Source organism: Homo sapiens, chromosome 10 (genome assembly GCF_000001405.40).
Source record: "Homo sapiens chromosome 10, GRCh38.p14 Primary Assembly".
In the NCBI taxonomy this organism is placed as follows: Eukaryota; Metazoa; Chordata; class Mammalia; order Primates; family Hominidae; genus Homo; species Homo sapiens.
The window spans coordinates 17,984,438-17,998,176 of record NC_000010.11 but is presented as its reverse complement, the minus strand read 5'-3'; the positions used below and the strand labels follow the sequence as shown (position 1 = coordinate 17,998,176).

Here is a 13,739-nt window from a genome sequence, read left to right as displayed (position 1 = left end):
CCATAAAGAACACACTGTGTATATTTCTTAAGGTAATTTAAACATTATTTAGCGGGAGGTTGAGGCAGGAGAATCGCTTAAACCCAGGAGGCAGAGGTTGCAGTGAACCAAGATCGTCCCACTGTACTCCAGCCTGGGTGACAGAGCGAGTTTCCATCTGAAAACAAAAAAATTATTTAGTGGAAGATAAGACAAGTATTCACTGGTAATTTAATGTACTCATTACAGAATTAAGTATAATATTTTACCTCTATTCATGTACTTGGCAGTCATATTGAGTTCCATGTTTCTGAGCTATCAGAGGTTTTCCATGGTAAAACATGGGGGCTGGAAGTGGTATCACTGTGCTTTTTTAAAATTTAAATCAGACTGTGGATTGAATTTTTGCATCTTGTCTTTGAAACACAAGTTGAGTTCCACGGATGAGGTAATACAAAACAAGTCATCAAATATTTGAAGCTTAATTCAGTATGTCCCTGGCAAAGGGGCAGTTGAGTAATGTAATATGGATATGTTCACTATTCATTCTGCATGCCAAGCTCGACAGGAAGTAAGCAGGTAGGTAAGAGGCCTATAAAATGTTTGAAGAAGACCATCGTTACTCCCTAATCTAGCATCCTCTTTCAGCTCCTGATTTGACTGGGCATGTCCTTCTTTCAAGACCACAACCAAAGAGAAAAAAAAGTCTATTGCAGACCTACTATGTGCCCAGCTTTCTAAAATTACTCTTGGAACTAAAAGTTTAGAAGGAAAAATATTACTAGCAATGTTCTAAAAGCAGAAATGGACAAAATATGTAATTACATATTTTGAATCGAATAAATAAATTACATGAGTTAATGTATCTAAAACATTTAGAACAGTAGTTGTTATAATGGTGTTTGGTCTTAGTAGTATTTCTATCCCTGACTACATCCCAAGCTAAGAATAAAGACCATGCTTATTTTATTCTGCACTGATAAAGATCATGCTTATTTTATTCTTCACTGCATAAAACATGCCTGAAGCAGGACATGTCTTCAAACATTTCTTGAATGAATAAAACAATGTGAAAGAATGCATTGATGCATGAATGAATGAATGGTCACAAAAAAATTGTTGGTGCATTAGCATTTCTTTCTTTTTCTTTTTTCTTTTTCTTTTTTTTTTTTTTTGAGACGGAGTCTCACTCTGTTGCACAGACTAGAGTGCTGGAGTGCAGTGGCGCGATCTCGGCTCACTGCAAGCTCCGCCTCCCTGCAAGCTCCGCCTCCCGGGTTCACGCCATTCTCCTGCCTCAGTCTCCCGAGTAGCTGGGACTACAGGAGCCCGCCACTACGCCCTGCTAATTTTTTGTATTTTTTAGTAGAGACGGGGTTTCACCATATTAGCCAGGATGGTCTCGATCTCCTGACCTCGTGATCTGCCCGCCTCGGCCTCCCAAAGTGCTGGGATTACAGGCGTGAGCCACCGCGCCCGCCGGTGCATTAGCATTTCTTTAGTTCCCCAGCGCTAGAGCTGACTAGCTATATAATCTTGAGCAGTGATTTAACCTCGCTAACAACTATTTTCTTCATTTGTATAATTCAGTTAATATTTATTCTTACTTAAGTTGTAGAATTGAATGAGATCACACCAACTGTGTAGCCCTGTGCCTAGCATACAAGAAGTGTTCAATACGTGTTAGCTATTTTCACTATTTGCTAAGTTATTACGGTAGAATGGGAATAACTAATCATGATGCATAACATTAAAACCTTAAGTTTGTGTCACAAAAGTGTAAAATAAGTGAGAAAAATAGGGCAAAAGTTCAAGAGTAACAGATGAAAACCAAAACAGACAAAAAAATCCGAAAAACTTTCAAGAATTATTCAGAAACATAAGCACAGGTTAATAAAGTTCTATCCAAAATTGGTAAATTAAATGCAGAAGAAAAAAATCATAGAAAAAACATCAAGCTTTGTTAATTAAAAATTAAATGAACAAATGAGTTATAGAATAAGATGTGAATAAATGAGATCACTGATTTGAATTCTACCATCTCAATGACAGTATGATAAATAAGACGCATTTGTGATGAATTTTCAGTAGACAGTGCTAGAAGATGAAAAAACAATGATATATCCATACTTCACAGTGAAATAAAAGCCTCAATCATCACACAAATATGTTTAGAAATGAGCTATGATAAACACACATGTGTTTACATTAATTGAAGTTTCCCCTGAAGGGAATTAGTTTAAATCAACTAAGAAAAACTTCATTTTTAAAGGAAGGAGTAAAATTGATATGAATATGTAGTCAATTTGAGAGCTGGATAGGAATTAGTTTTTATTACAAATCCTATTGCAAAGTTTTTCATAATAAACTACATACCCAATATGATATCTATATAGTTTTGACATTTTATTTTAAAACAGACATAACTGTTTTTCTATGGCACTTTCCACATGTAAAGTTTAGCTTGGTACTCACATTTTCTGTTGGAGGCTGTCATACTGCCTATAGGCATTTCAGCTGCCTGTGAATCTTCTGGGCTTTTCTATTTTAAATTAAAAAATAACTGATGAAAGATAAGTAATGGCCATCATTTTGTTGAAAAATGAAACATCTGGAGAGTTACATGGGTTTTTAAAAGACATTTTAGTACTCTAGATGTATATTAGAACCTCAGGTTTCATAGACACACACAATGTAGAGCTGAAAGTCTGTGGGCAAAGCAAGCCTTTTGCACTCTTCATATTTAGATGAAAATAGCACTCTCAGGTAGATCAGAATCTTCCATAGAGAGCTGAAGGCTGCTGAGACAGTCTGTAATTCAGACTCGTAAATTATGTAAGCCTTTATGAAATTCAAAAGCTATCGAAAAAAATTATTCTTGGCCTAACTCAGCACTTCTCCTGTATGGTGGATTGTGGACTTAAGATCCATCCTCTAACCTGTGAGCAGTCGATGTATTTTGGATGGAAAAGACACCCATGCAAATTCAACACCTCATTTCATTCACTGCAGCATAATATTCTGTGTTAACTGCTTTGCCAGTCAGTAAAAGAATCTTGCCCATTAAGAAAGTAGATCCACCCACTTATAAAAGACAACAATAATAGATTCAAACATTTTTTAATCCTTTTATATGACAGAGAAGTGAGATTTTGAAATTGACTTTATGAGGTAAGATTACGTGATTTTATTTCAGAGACTGACTCACAGACCAATTTCTGAAAATATATTTTCCGTCTTGGCGCCTCTGATTTCAATTCTATAAAAAAACTTTTTATCTGCATATTAAATATGTCCTTTTAAAAGCATATGCATAGAAGTCTATCTCCCAAAGTTGTACAAATTTTGACACAAATGTAATGAGATAAATGCATTTTGTGTGTGTGTAAAAGAGAGAAAGTAAATTTTACACATTAGTAAAGTTCACGTATTAGAATAATAGCAGCTATTCAAAAGATAATGATAGGCTGTTTTTGGAGAAGGATAGCTGAGAAGTAAGGTAGAGCCTGTAGGATACAGAGAGCAGGAAGTAGACCTCTTACTTGAAATTGGGAGGATATAGAAACAAAAAACATTGTGATCCCTTTATGTTATATCAAAAACCTAATTGTAATCACAATGCTTTATAGTTCTGTGAAAATACAGAATTCAGATATTTATTCTAGAATGTTTTGTCTTGTTTTTCAAAAAAAGCTATTTATTGTCACATTATGTAAAGTAATTTAGAGCCAAACATTCAGGACTTCTTATTGATTGGGAAAAAAATGTACATTCTTCTTTATCCTCGAGTTTCTTGAAAAAACAAGAAATTAAACTCATCAAACACTCCTAAAAGTTTATACAATTTCTATTATGCTTTAGGTCAAATTGCAGCTTAAATAACAAGAGGAATTATGCGTATATTAGTGAGCTGGAGTGTTCAAATAGCTCAAGACTCACTAAGGTACCTTCAGAGATTTGGTTATATGCATCTTGGGGCTCTGGACACTTCAAAGAGAAGGAATAAGGTCAGTATTAAAGAGATTTTTAAAACTAATCCCACCTGAAGTTATCTTTTTTCAAACCACATTTAGAATGTCTAAGCAATAAATACAATAAAGGCTCTTAAAATCGTATTTTAAAGGAAATTTCTGGTTCCTATCTCTGAGTTAGCACGAGATCTGAAATCTACTCCCAAACTTCTATTTTGCTATGTCAATGTCTCAGGAATAGCCTCCTCATTTCTACTGAGGAAGCTGTCCTTACACCGTAAACTCTTTACCCTAAGGCCATGGTTCCAGGAGGCAGGGATTCTAGCAATTATATATTACTTTCATATTTTTCCCATTCCTATACTTCTTACTTAAAGCATTTGAATGGGAATATTGTTTTGAACATGATTGGACATTGTGCTTTGAGAATTAATATAGAAGATTTTGTTGTGGAAAATTTAGTAGAATAAAGGCACATACTATGAAACTTCTCATTGGACAGAATCAGTTATCTCCTGCATTATGAAATGAACTCCCCAATCCTAGGTGCACTAAGTAATCCCTTGCTCCACATCTGTTTTCATCCACCTAGTCATGGCTAAGGATTACTCAGAATGCAAAGGCAAAGGTCAACTGGTTTATGAAAACTTGTAAACACAAGGATTAAGGACGTGTCTATGATGTCAGTCTGATCCATACATGTTTGACAGTGATGCAGACAGCAATTACGTGAATCTGTGGAGGGTGCCTGTTGCTCTTTAGAACAGCTTTCAGGTGCTTGGCAGAGTTTTCTAAACAGTATTTATCACAGTTAAGAACCGGCAAATCAGGAGTATGAAATCTGTTTATCTACCCTACTGATTTTCATTTGTTCATTGAGGAATAAAGGAGAGAAGGTAATCAGATCAGTAGAATGCTTCAGATCAGGAACCTACCAACTGGATAGTTGAAGCAGATTTGCCTCTGCCTGCCTGGTCACTTAATTCAGAGTTGAGTGCAAGATGGTGGGAATGACCCACGTGCCCATTAACCAATGACAGGCCCTGCTGGATGAGGATGGTTTAAAATTAGTGTTGAAGCCAGAAGAACACAGGTGTAGTCTTTGTCAATGCCACGGTTCCATTCCATTGCCTATTGGCCAAAATGGTAGTTGCCACAAAAGAGAACTGGGATGCTTTAAGAATGGAATGCAACTTCAAAAATGTCTAGTGATGACTGAAGAAGGCTTGAATAGTGGTAGTTTTTACACTGTCTTTTTATTTACTAAAAAAAGTTATATTTACACAAAATTAAATTTTAAATTCTTTCTGATGGAGATACCGCAATGATAATAATCAAAACTGTATTGTACCCTGTGACTACTAAAACAATGTCTCTGGAAATGTATTCATCAAGTAAAGCATTTGCAGTTCCTAAAACATACGTATTCCTTTTATTTTAGGCAATATCATAAATCTTGGAATTATGCTCTTAAAACTCATTTTAAGTTCCCTGACAAGCCCATAAACAATCTGAATAAACTCTACATTTTTGGATGTTCAGAATTTCTTTCACTCATTACCACACTGGATTTCTAACTACTGAATTACTGGTATTTTGGCTTTCTAATTTAGTTTTCCCAACCCAGAAATGTTAATCCATTGGGTATAAGTGGGGATTTGTTATTTTTTTAATGCTTCTTGGGATTAGAACTTCTTTTGTGAAAGGAAAGTTCCTAAACTTTTAGGGTAAGTACTGTAATAGAAATTGGCATTCCTAATTTCCAAATTACCATAGCATCCTAGTTTGGGCCCCAGGCCAAAGAAAAGTCCTGCTTTATTAGAAAACTTTTACAGAAGTTGACTTGTAGTCTATTTGAATTCATGACCTCTATTTATTGCTGAAAAGATTTCAAATATATAGAAAGCTGAAAGAATTGTATTGTAATGTAAATATTGAGCTATCCACTTCCTTGATCCTATGATTATTTTATTAAATCTATTTTATCATGTAGCTATCCATCTATCATCCCTCTATCCATCCATAAATTCATTTTATTTTTTGATTCATAAAACAGAATTTTGAACAAATTTAGGAATGAAAAACAATAAGTGCTATGCTATTTATTTTTTCTTTTGTTTTTTTTTTTTTTTTTTTTTGAGATGGAGTCTCGCTCTGTCACCCAGGCTGGAGTGTAGTGGCGCGATCTCGGCTCACTGCAACCTCTACCTCTTGGGTTCAAGCAATTCTCCTGCCTCAGCCTCCCTAGTACCTGGGATTACAGGCGCGCGGCATCATGCCTGGCTAATTTTTGTATTTTCAGTACAGACAGCGTTTCGCTATGTTGGCCAGGCTGGCCTCAAACTCCTGACCTCAGGTGATCCGCCTGCCTCGGCCTCCCAAAGTGCTGAAATTACAGGCATGAGCCACAGCGCCCGGCCCATATCTGTAGACATTTATCAGCTACTGGTATAATAAAAGAAATTACTAAAGCTGAAAAAAAGATTTGCTGCAAATTTCAAAATTCCTAAGACGCTTGTTTTTGTAATTTTAAATGCCTTTAAGACAGAAAATTACATGTGATTTTGTGAGTTTTCAAAGTTTTTGTTTGCTTATTTGTTTAGGTTAAGAAAGATATCCAAAACGCTGATTAGTAGCTAGAATGTTGGGCCCCTTCATTCCCCAGACATAAAATAGTCCCCAGTTCCTAAACCAACCATGAAGGTTGAACAAAAGGTCTTAATAAGTACATTAACTGCCCAGGAATAGATATTTTAAAAAATTAATATCCTATTAGAAGGAGCTGTGTATTCTTGAAATCAGCATTCCATTAGACATCCCTTACACAGGCAACTTCATTACTTTTGAACAAGTACTTGTGAAGGAACAGATGAATGTATTATAAGACTTTAAAGCACAAGACAAATAAAACTTAAAAATATACCTTGTCATTTGGTGATACAAGAAGAATAAAACATTTTTCTATCAAGAAAAATCCATGGATGCCTCCAATTAATCCCATCAGTTTCCAAATATGACCTTTGCTTTCATGGAAATGCCCAAATTCTGGGGCTTCCTGCTTATGTAAACCAAGAACCTTCAGGGGAAAAAAAAAAAAAAAAGGCAGAGAGAAAGATGGAGATAAGTCTTGATGACTTAACTATTAAATAGTAGGCCCAGTGTTGAATATATTTAATTTTCATTCTGGGAAATGCCGTGACAACTATTAATACAATCACTAAAAGTCCAGTTTGCTTTTGGGTATGTGAATGCTTCCACTATACACTTCAATCAGGGTCAAATAAATTGTGTACAATAAAAAACAAAAGAGAGCTTTGAATAGCTTGTGCTAATGAACAGAATGAAGCCTAAGCTTTATTTCTGCAAGTGCCCTAGATTTTCACACAAACTCAGTCCTTCGGCCAAATTGTTTTTCAGGAGTCCAATCTGCATCTGTTTGTACAACCATGCCTCATAAAATATTAATAAATTTTATATTTCATCTGGGGTTTATTCTCATGCCCCATAGCAATCAAAGTAAACTTTTATTAAATATCAGATAAGTAAGAAATCCACCGTGAAGAACTTGTTCCTTTGGGAGCATACTGTATGACTGACAATATTGTCAGGTCTCTGGGACACAAAAGGGTATGAGAAATGTGTTGGGAATTTTTCTGTAACTGACTCATCCCATTGGTTGAGTCATTCCATTGGTCAACCTCATGATTTCTTGTGAGCCAGTAGATCATTCTATACCATATCCCTTCTCTTAGAGAAGGCAATTTATGAAGTAGCTCATAAATGGTTTCCAGATTTAGAATGTTACTATTAAATTTTAAAAAGGAAAAAGAAATTATATGTGTATAGATTATATGTATATACATTCATACATATATGTGTACAGGCATTTATGTGTACATACATATATGTACGTGTGTATATGTGAGTATACATATGTATCTACATATATATGTTGTGTATGCAAATATCACTAAAAACCAATATATGTTAGTCAACTTTTTCTCTTGCTAAGGGCATTTAAGGATACCCACCTAATACTTCTAATGACCATTATTGCACAAAATAGGGAACATTTGTAATATCATAAAACAAAACAGAAGAAAAACCCCAGATCTCAAAATAAAATGTAGATCTTTCAGTTGAACAAATTTAGCTGACTAAAAAAGGCAATCACATGAGTAACATTTTTCTCACTTCTGTGCAGACGTTTGAAAACTTGCCACAGATCACTGATTCTTCTAGCACACCACCACACTTGTCCTGCATCTTTCTTCCTCTTTCCAACAACTTTCGTCCTCGTCTCTTTTTTTTTTCGTGAGACAGAGTCTCGTTCTGTTGCCCAGGGCAGTGGCATGATCTCGGCTCACTGCAACCTCTGCCTCCTGGGTTCAAGCGATTCTCCTGCCTCAGCCTCCAGAGTAGCTGGGGTTACAGGCGCCCACCACCACACCCGGCTAGTTTTTGATTTTTAGTAGAGACGGGGTTTCACCATGTTGGCCAGGCTGGTCTCAAACTCCTGACCTCAGGTGATCCGCCTGTCTTGCCCTCCCAAAGTGCTGGGATTACAGGCGTGAACCACTGCACCCGGCTCTTGTCTCTTTCCTTAAGCAAAAAAAAAACTGTCTACAAAATTTCGGGAAACCCAGCTAATCTCTGAAGTTCTCCTCTGTAACATGTTGCACCCATCCTCAAGTCCACCTTCGCTGTGGGCTCCCTCACTGGGGGAGACTCAGGCTGACCTGAGAGCCTTTTTCTGCTTCCCAGACTCCTGGGCAGTAAACAATTCTGCTACCGCTGCTGTGACCTAGAAAAAAGGCCTGGGCCGCCGCCTCTACTCAGTCATAAGCCCTGAAATATTTCCAGGATATTAGATTATGAGGGCAATTAAAACTCATAATGGTTTTATTTTTCCAATGCTCCCTTTGTGATTTTCAGAACATTGAATAACAATTGAGCCTCGAAGCAACAAGAGTGACCCTGCAGGAAACTGCCAGAGGCTTGTGGAAAATTTTAACCAGCTCAGGCTTTGCTGGAGTGGGGATCATTGGTCCACCATCATTATCCCTGGTAAGAGATTTCAGAGGGAAGAGAACACCTCATCTGTAGATGACCTCAACTCAGGTTTTACTCCTTTCCTTTCTGAAAAAGAGCCTCAGCACACGTCAACAGGAGGCAGCCTCCTGGTGCTCACCTGCCCTTAAGAGAAATCTAGACACTGTTAGGCAAGAAGGAGAATTCCACTGTGATGGCTCAAATAAAGAGACATGAAAGATAAGACTATTACAGAGGTGGGCAGGGTCAAGGGTATAAAGAAAGGATAATGAGGCACCCAGAGACTGGCAATCGCAGGAAAGCATTGCCAACCTTAGGGGTGAAAGGGAAAAGGGAGGAAGGCCAGTGAGCCGTGGAGCTGTGGGGAAGCTGTCCACTGGAGACGTAGCCCATGGCAAATCAGCCACTTCTAGAGCGGACGCCGGAGCCAGGAGGGAGCTGGGCACAGATGCCACTGCCTCTCTCTCCTCCTCCTCTGAGTTTTCCATTGTGCCCCTCATTGGCTGACCCCAAACAAAAATCCAACCTGCAAGGTAGCTGAGGAGATGCAGCCTTCTGGGCAGAACAGAAAGAAGGACAAGTGAATTAGGCCATTTTTGTGTTGCTATAAAGAAATATCTGAGGCTGGATAACCTATAAAGAAAAGAGGTTTAATGGGCTCCTGGTTCTGCAGGGTGTACAGGAAGCATGGTGTCAGCATTTGCTTCTGATATGGGCCTCAGGAAGCTTCCAATCACAGTAGACAGTGAAGGGGAAGCAGGCACATCACATAATGAGAGAGAGAAAGCAAGAGAGAGGGAGACGGGGAGGTTCTGGACTTTTAAACAACCAGGTCTTGGGTGAACTAACTGAATGACAACTTTTTCTGAGACAGAGTCTCGCTCTGTCACCCATGCTGGAGTGCAGTGGTACGATCTTTGCTCACTGCAACCTTCGCCTCTCGAGTTCAAGCGATTCTCCTGTCTCAGCCTCCCGAGTAGCTAGGATTACAGACGCATGGCACTATGCCCAGCTAATTTTTATATTTTTAGTAGAGATGGGGTTTCACCATGCTGTCCAGGCTGGTCTCGAACTCCTGATCTCAAGTAATCCACCTGCCTTGGCCTCCCAAAGTGCTGGGACTACCGGTGCATGTAACATGTGCAGCTAATTTTTGTATTTTTAGTAGAGATGGGGTTCCACCACATCGGCCAGGCTGTTCTTGAGCTCCTGGGCTCCAGCGATCTTCCCGCCTCAGCCTTCCATGGTACTGGGATTACAGGTGTGAGCCACCGTGCCCTGCCACCTTTCCTTTGTTTTATTTCAAAAATACTACTACTATGTGGCGAGCCTAATGTTGGGGCATCTCTTCTCTTCTACAAGTGCAGAGAGGCCTTGGGGAAATAATATTTCTTTTTAAGGAAAACACCAGCCACGATACTCTCTCTTTGAAGTCTCAGTAAAATTTTGCATAAATACCTCCAGTGGTTAAAAGTGAAGAGCAATGAAGTGAACTTTATCTGAAATGGAAAAGACCAGATTACCTGAGGGATAAGGTGGAGCAGAGCGTCCCCAGACAGTGTCCCGACGGCCAAGCCCACAAACAGCTGTAAGATAAGCCTGTAGTTCTCCTCACAGCTATGGAAAAGGACCAGCGCTGTCCCCAGCATGGAGCCCAGTGTGAGAAGGGTGACAGCCACCGTGCTGTAGCCGTATTCTAAGTCAAAGGAGATCGTAAACACAGTCAGTGCCCAGTGCCCTCCATTCCGGCCTCAGCTGGCGAAAATGCCAGAAGAATTGGTCTTACAGTAACAGCCAGTAGGGATATGGATTTTTTAAATAAGTGTTTTGTTTTTATTTTGAGACAGGCTCTCTGTCTGTCACCCAGCCTGGAATGTAGTGGCACTATCATAGCTCTCTGTAGCCTCCACCTCCTAGGCTCAAGTGATCCTCCCACCTCAGCCTCCCAAGTACCTGGGACAACAGGTGCACACCATCATGCCTGACTCATTTTCTGGTATTTTTTGTTTGTAGAGATGGGGTTTCGTCATGTTCCCCAGGCTGGTCTCGAACTCCTGGACTCAAGCAATCCACTCGTCTCAGCCTCCCAAATGGCTGGGATTACAGTTGTAAGCCCACTGCCCCCAACTTGGAATTTTTAAATAAGCGTTTTGTTGTTTTTGTTGTTTTTGAGACAGGTTCTCACTCTGCTGCTCAAGCTGGGGTGGAGTGGTGTGATTATAGCTCACTATAATCCTGAACTCCCAGGCTCAAGTGATCTTCCCACATCAGACCCTCGAGCAGCTGGGACTACGGGCAGGTGCCATCAGGCCTGGCTAAGCTTTTATTTTTAGTAGAGATAGGGTCTCACTGTATTACCTGGGCTAGTCTCAAGCTCCTGGGCTCAAGCAATCCTCCTGCTTCACCTCCCAAAGTGATGGGATTACAGGCATAAGCCACAGCACCCAGTCTTATAAGTGTTATATGCGGCAAAAAGTTTTTAAATTTTTAACAAAAAGAATGAACAGATTTGCTATGGTCTAAATGTTTGTGTCTCCGCAAAATTCACATGTTGAAACCTAACCACCAAGGTGGTGGGTGGTATTAGGAAGTGAGGCCTTTGGGAGGTGATTAGAACATATACTCTTCACCCCTGTTGAATGGGATTAGGGTCTTTACAGGGGCTAAAGGGACTGGAGTTCTTCCCTTCACCAGTCCATGAACCAGGAACGAGACCCTCACCAGATGCCGAATCTGCTGATGCCTTGATCTTGGACTTCCCAACCTCCAGAACTGTGAGAAATAGATGTCTGTTGTTTACATAAGCCATCCGTTTGTGGTATTTTGTTACAGCAAGGACTAAGACAAGACTTTCTTCAAATAACCGTGTTGTTTTGAAGTTACTCTGACTACCCCTTACTAAAAATTATTGCAGCAAGCAAGGACTGAGCTCACCTCCAACCCTCAAAGAAATAAATTTCTCTCACTTGAAACTACAACATCCACAGACAGACACTAGCAATAATTTCCCTTTAATCATATCTTAAGCTTCTCAAAGGCGAAAAGACTAGCTGTTACATAGGAAGCATAAGGTTTGGCAGTATTGTAGACCTATGTTTGTGTACAAAATGAGTACACGTTTTGGAAGAACTTCCTTCCAAAAGCTGTCTGAATTATTTGCAATGTCCAGGGTGATATTATTTTCAGTGACTAAAATGAGTGTTGTTATTGGTGAAAACTGATCAATGAATGTGTAACAGTCGATAATAAAAATCTGAACAATCTACATTTTGGATGATTGCAATGACTTTTATAATCCTTAGAATTTCATGTTTCTAGGCTTCCTTTTAAAAAAATATTTATAAAGTATAATTTGTAAGTTTATTTGAAAGAAAAAATATATATATATGAAGGGAGAAGAAATAAAGGAGAAAAGGGAAGAGATAAGATTAAAAGAGAGGGAGGAAATGACTTTCAGAATCAAGTACAGACAACATAGAGATAAGGAGTTATCTATGGCATCATTTTCATCTGCTTGTAGATACTCAAAGCAAATGCTTATTTCTCTACCTATTTAGAAATTACTAACAAGTGATGGCAAACTAGTTAGTAAACAATGAGGAAAGCTAATTATGAAATTAAACTACCACTTTCTTCAGTGACTATGGATATACAATAAGTTAAATCAAACAATCCTGGTGTCAAAATACCTAAAGCTCATTGCAATTTTTTTGAAAAAAAAAAACTATCCTCTTAAAGTTTCTTAAAACAGAAAATATTTCATTCTCATCATACTTGCATTTTTCTAAAAGGTTCATTCTTTAAATTAGATCATTTTATTTTATTTTTATTTTTGAGACAGTCTTGCTCTTTCACCCAGGCTGGAGTGCTGTGGCACAATCTCAGCTTGCTGCAACCTCCACCTCCCGGGCTCAAGTGATTCTCCTGCTTCAGCCTCCTGCGTAGCTGGGACTACAGGTGCCCACCACCATGTCTGGCTAATTTTTGTATTTTTAGTAGAGACGGGGTTCCATCATGTTGGCCAGGCTGGTCTCGAACTCCTGACCTCAAATGATCCACCACCTTGGCCTCCCAAAGAGCTGAAATTACAGGCATGAGCCACCATGCCCAGACTAGATCATTTTAATAATATAACTGGTAACAGAAAAATAGGCTTGTGATATTAAGAGGACTTTACTGAAACGTAAGTTCTAAATTACCCAGGGGTTTAATATTAAAATAGAGTTGGCAGTATACTCAGAAGAGGCAAAAAACTTTTAAGCATCTGTTCCCGTACCCCCACTACCACATTTTCATTGCTATGGAATCCCTATAAAATGGTTTACAAGCAAGGTGAAATGAAGAGTTGTTCTTCTATGGGTATAGAGTTTTAGTTTTGCAAGATGAAAAAGTTCTATTATCTATTGCACAACAATGTGAATATACTGAATTGTGCAAATACAAATGGTTAAGATGGCGAACTGTATTTCATGTGTATTGTTCAGACACCTACATCGTCGTGTCTTTTATCATTCTAATGTAACAAAAATACTCATGTTATAGAAACTTCCCTGAAAATCTTCAACTAAGTTTCATATCCCATTCTTTCCCACACAGACTCTATATGGGAATGCCATTCTTTTCATTTATTACATAAATTAAAGATATTTGAATAGTAACATGAGCACCTGGATGTTTAATAAAATTTACAGCTGTCCCATTTTAGAAGTGGTAACTGCAAAAGACCACAAAAGGCCA

At 38.5% G+C, this 13,739-nt stretch overlaps 1 protein-coding gene across 4 annotated transcripts in view, besides 1 other annotated feature; it reads right to left on the bottom strand.

Annotated features, from left to right (window-relative positions):
• The window catches only part of SLC39A12 (solute carrier family 39 member 12), a 91,368-nt gene that overhangs the window by 45,109 nt on the left and 32,520 nt on the right, over window positions 1-13,739 (bottom strand). For 2 of the 4 annotated variants that reach the window (NM_001145195.2, NM_001282734.2), the window contains 4 exons: window positions 10,526-10,698; window positions 6,874-7,026; window positions 4,886-4,996; window positions 2,455-2,521 (listed from right to left, as the gene is read on the bottom strand). In NM_001145195.2, coding sequence (NP_001138667.1) covers window positions 2,455-2,521; window positions 4,886-4,996; window positions 6,874-7,026; window positions 10,526-10,698 — 504 coding nt within the window. The remainder of the gene's footprint in view (window positions 1-2,454; window positions 2,522-4,885; window positions 4,997-6,873; window positions 7,027-10,525; window positions 10,699-13,739) is intronic. The other 2 variants (NM_001282733.2, NM_152725.4) reach the window with 2 other exon arrangements.
• Window positions 7,995-8,054: an enhancer, noted in NCBI's record as "active region_3111". NCBI's record gives its function as "activates an Ori minimal core promoter by ATAC-STARR-seq in GM12878 lymphoblastoid cells {active_cell/tissue: GM12878}" and the evidence as "EXISTENCE:reporter gene assay evidence [ECO:0000049][PMID:35858748]".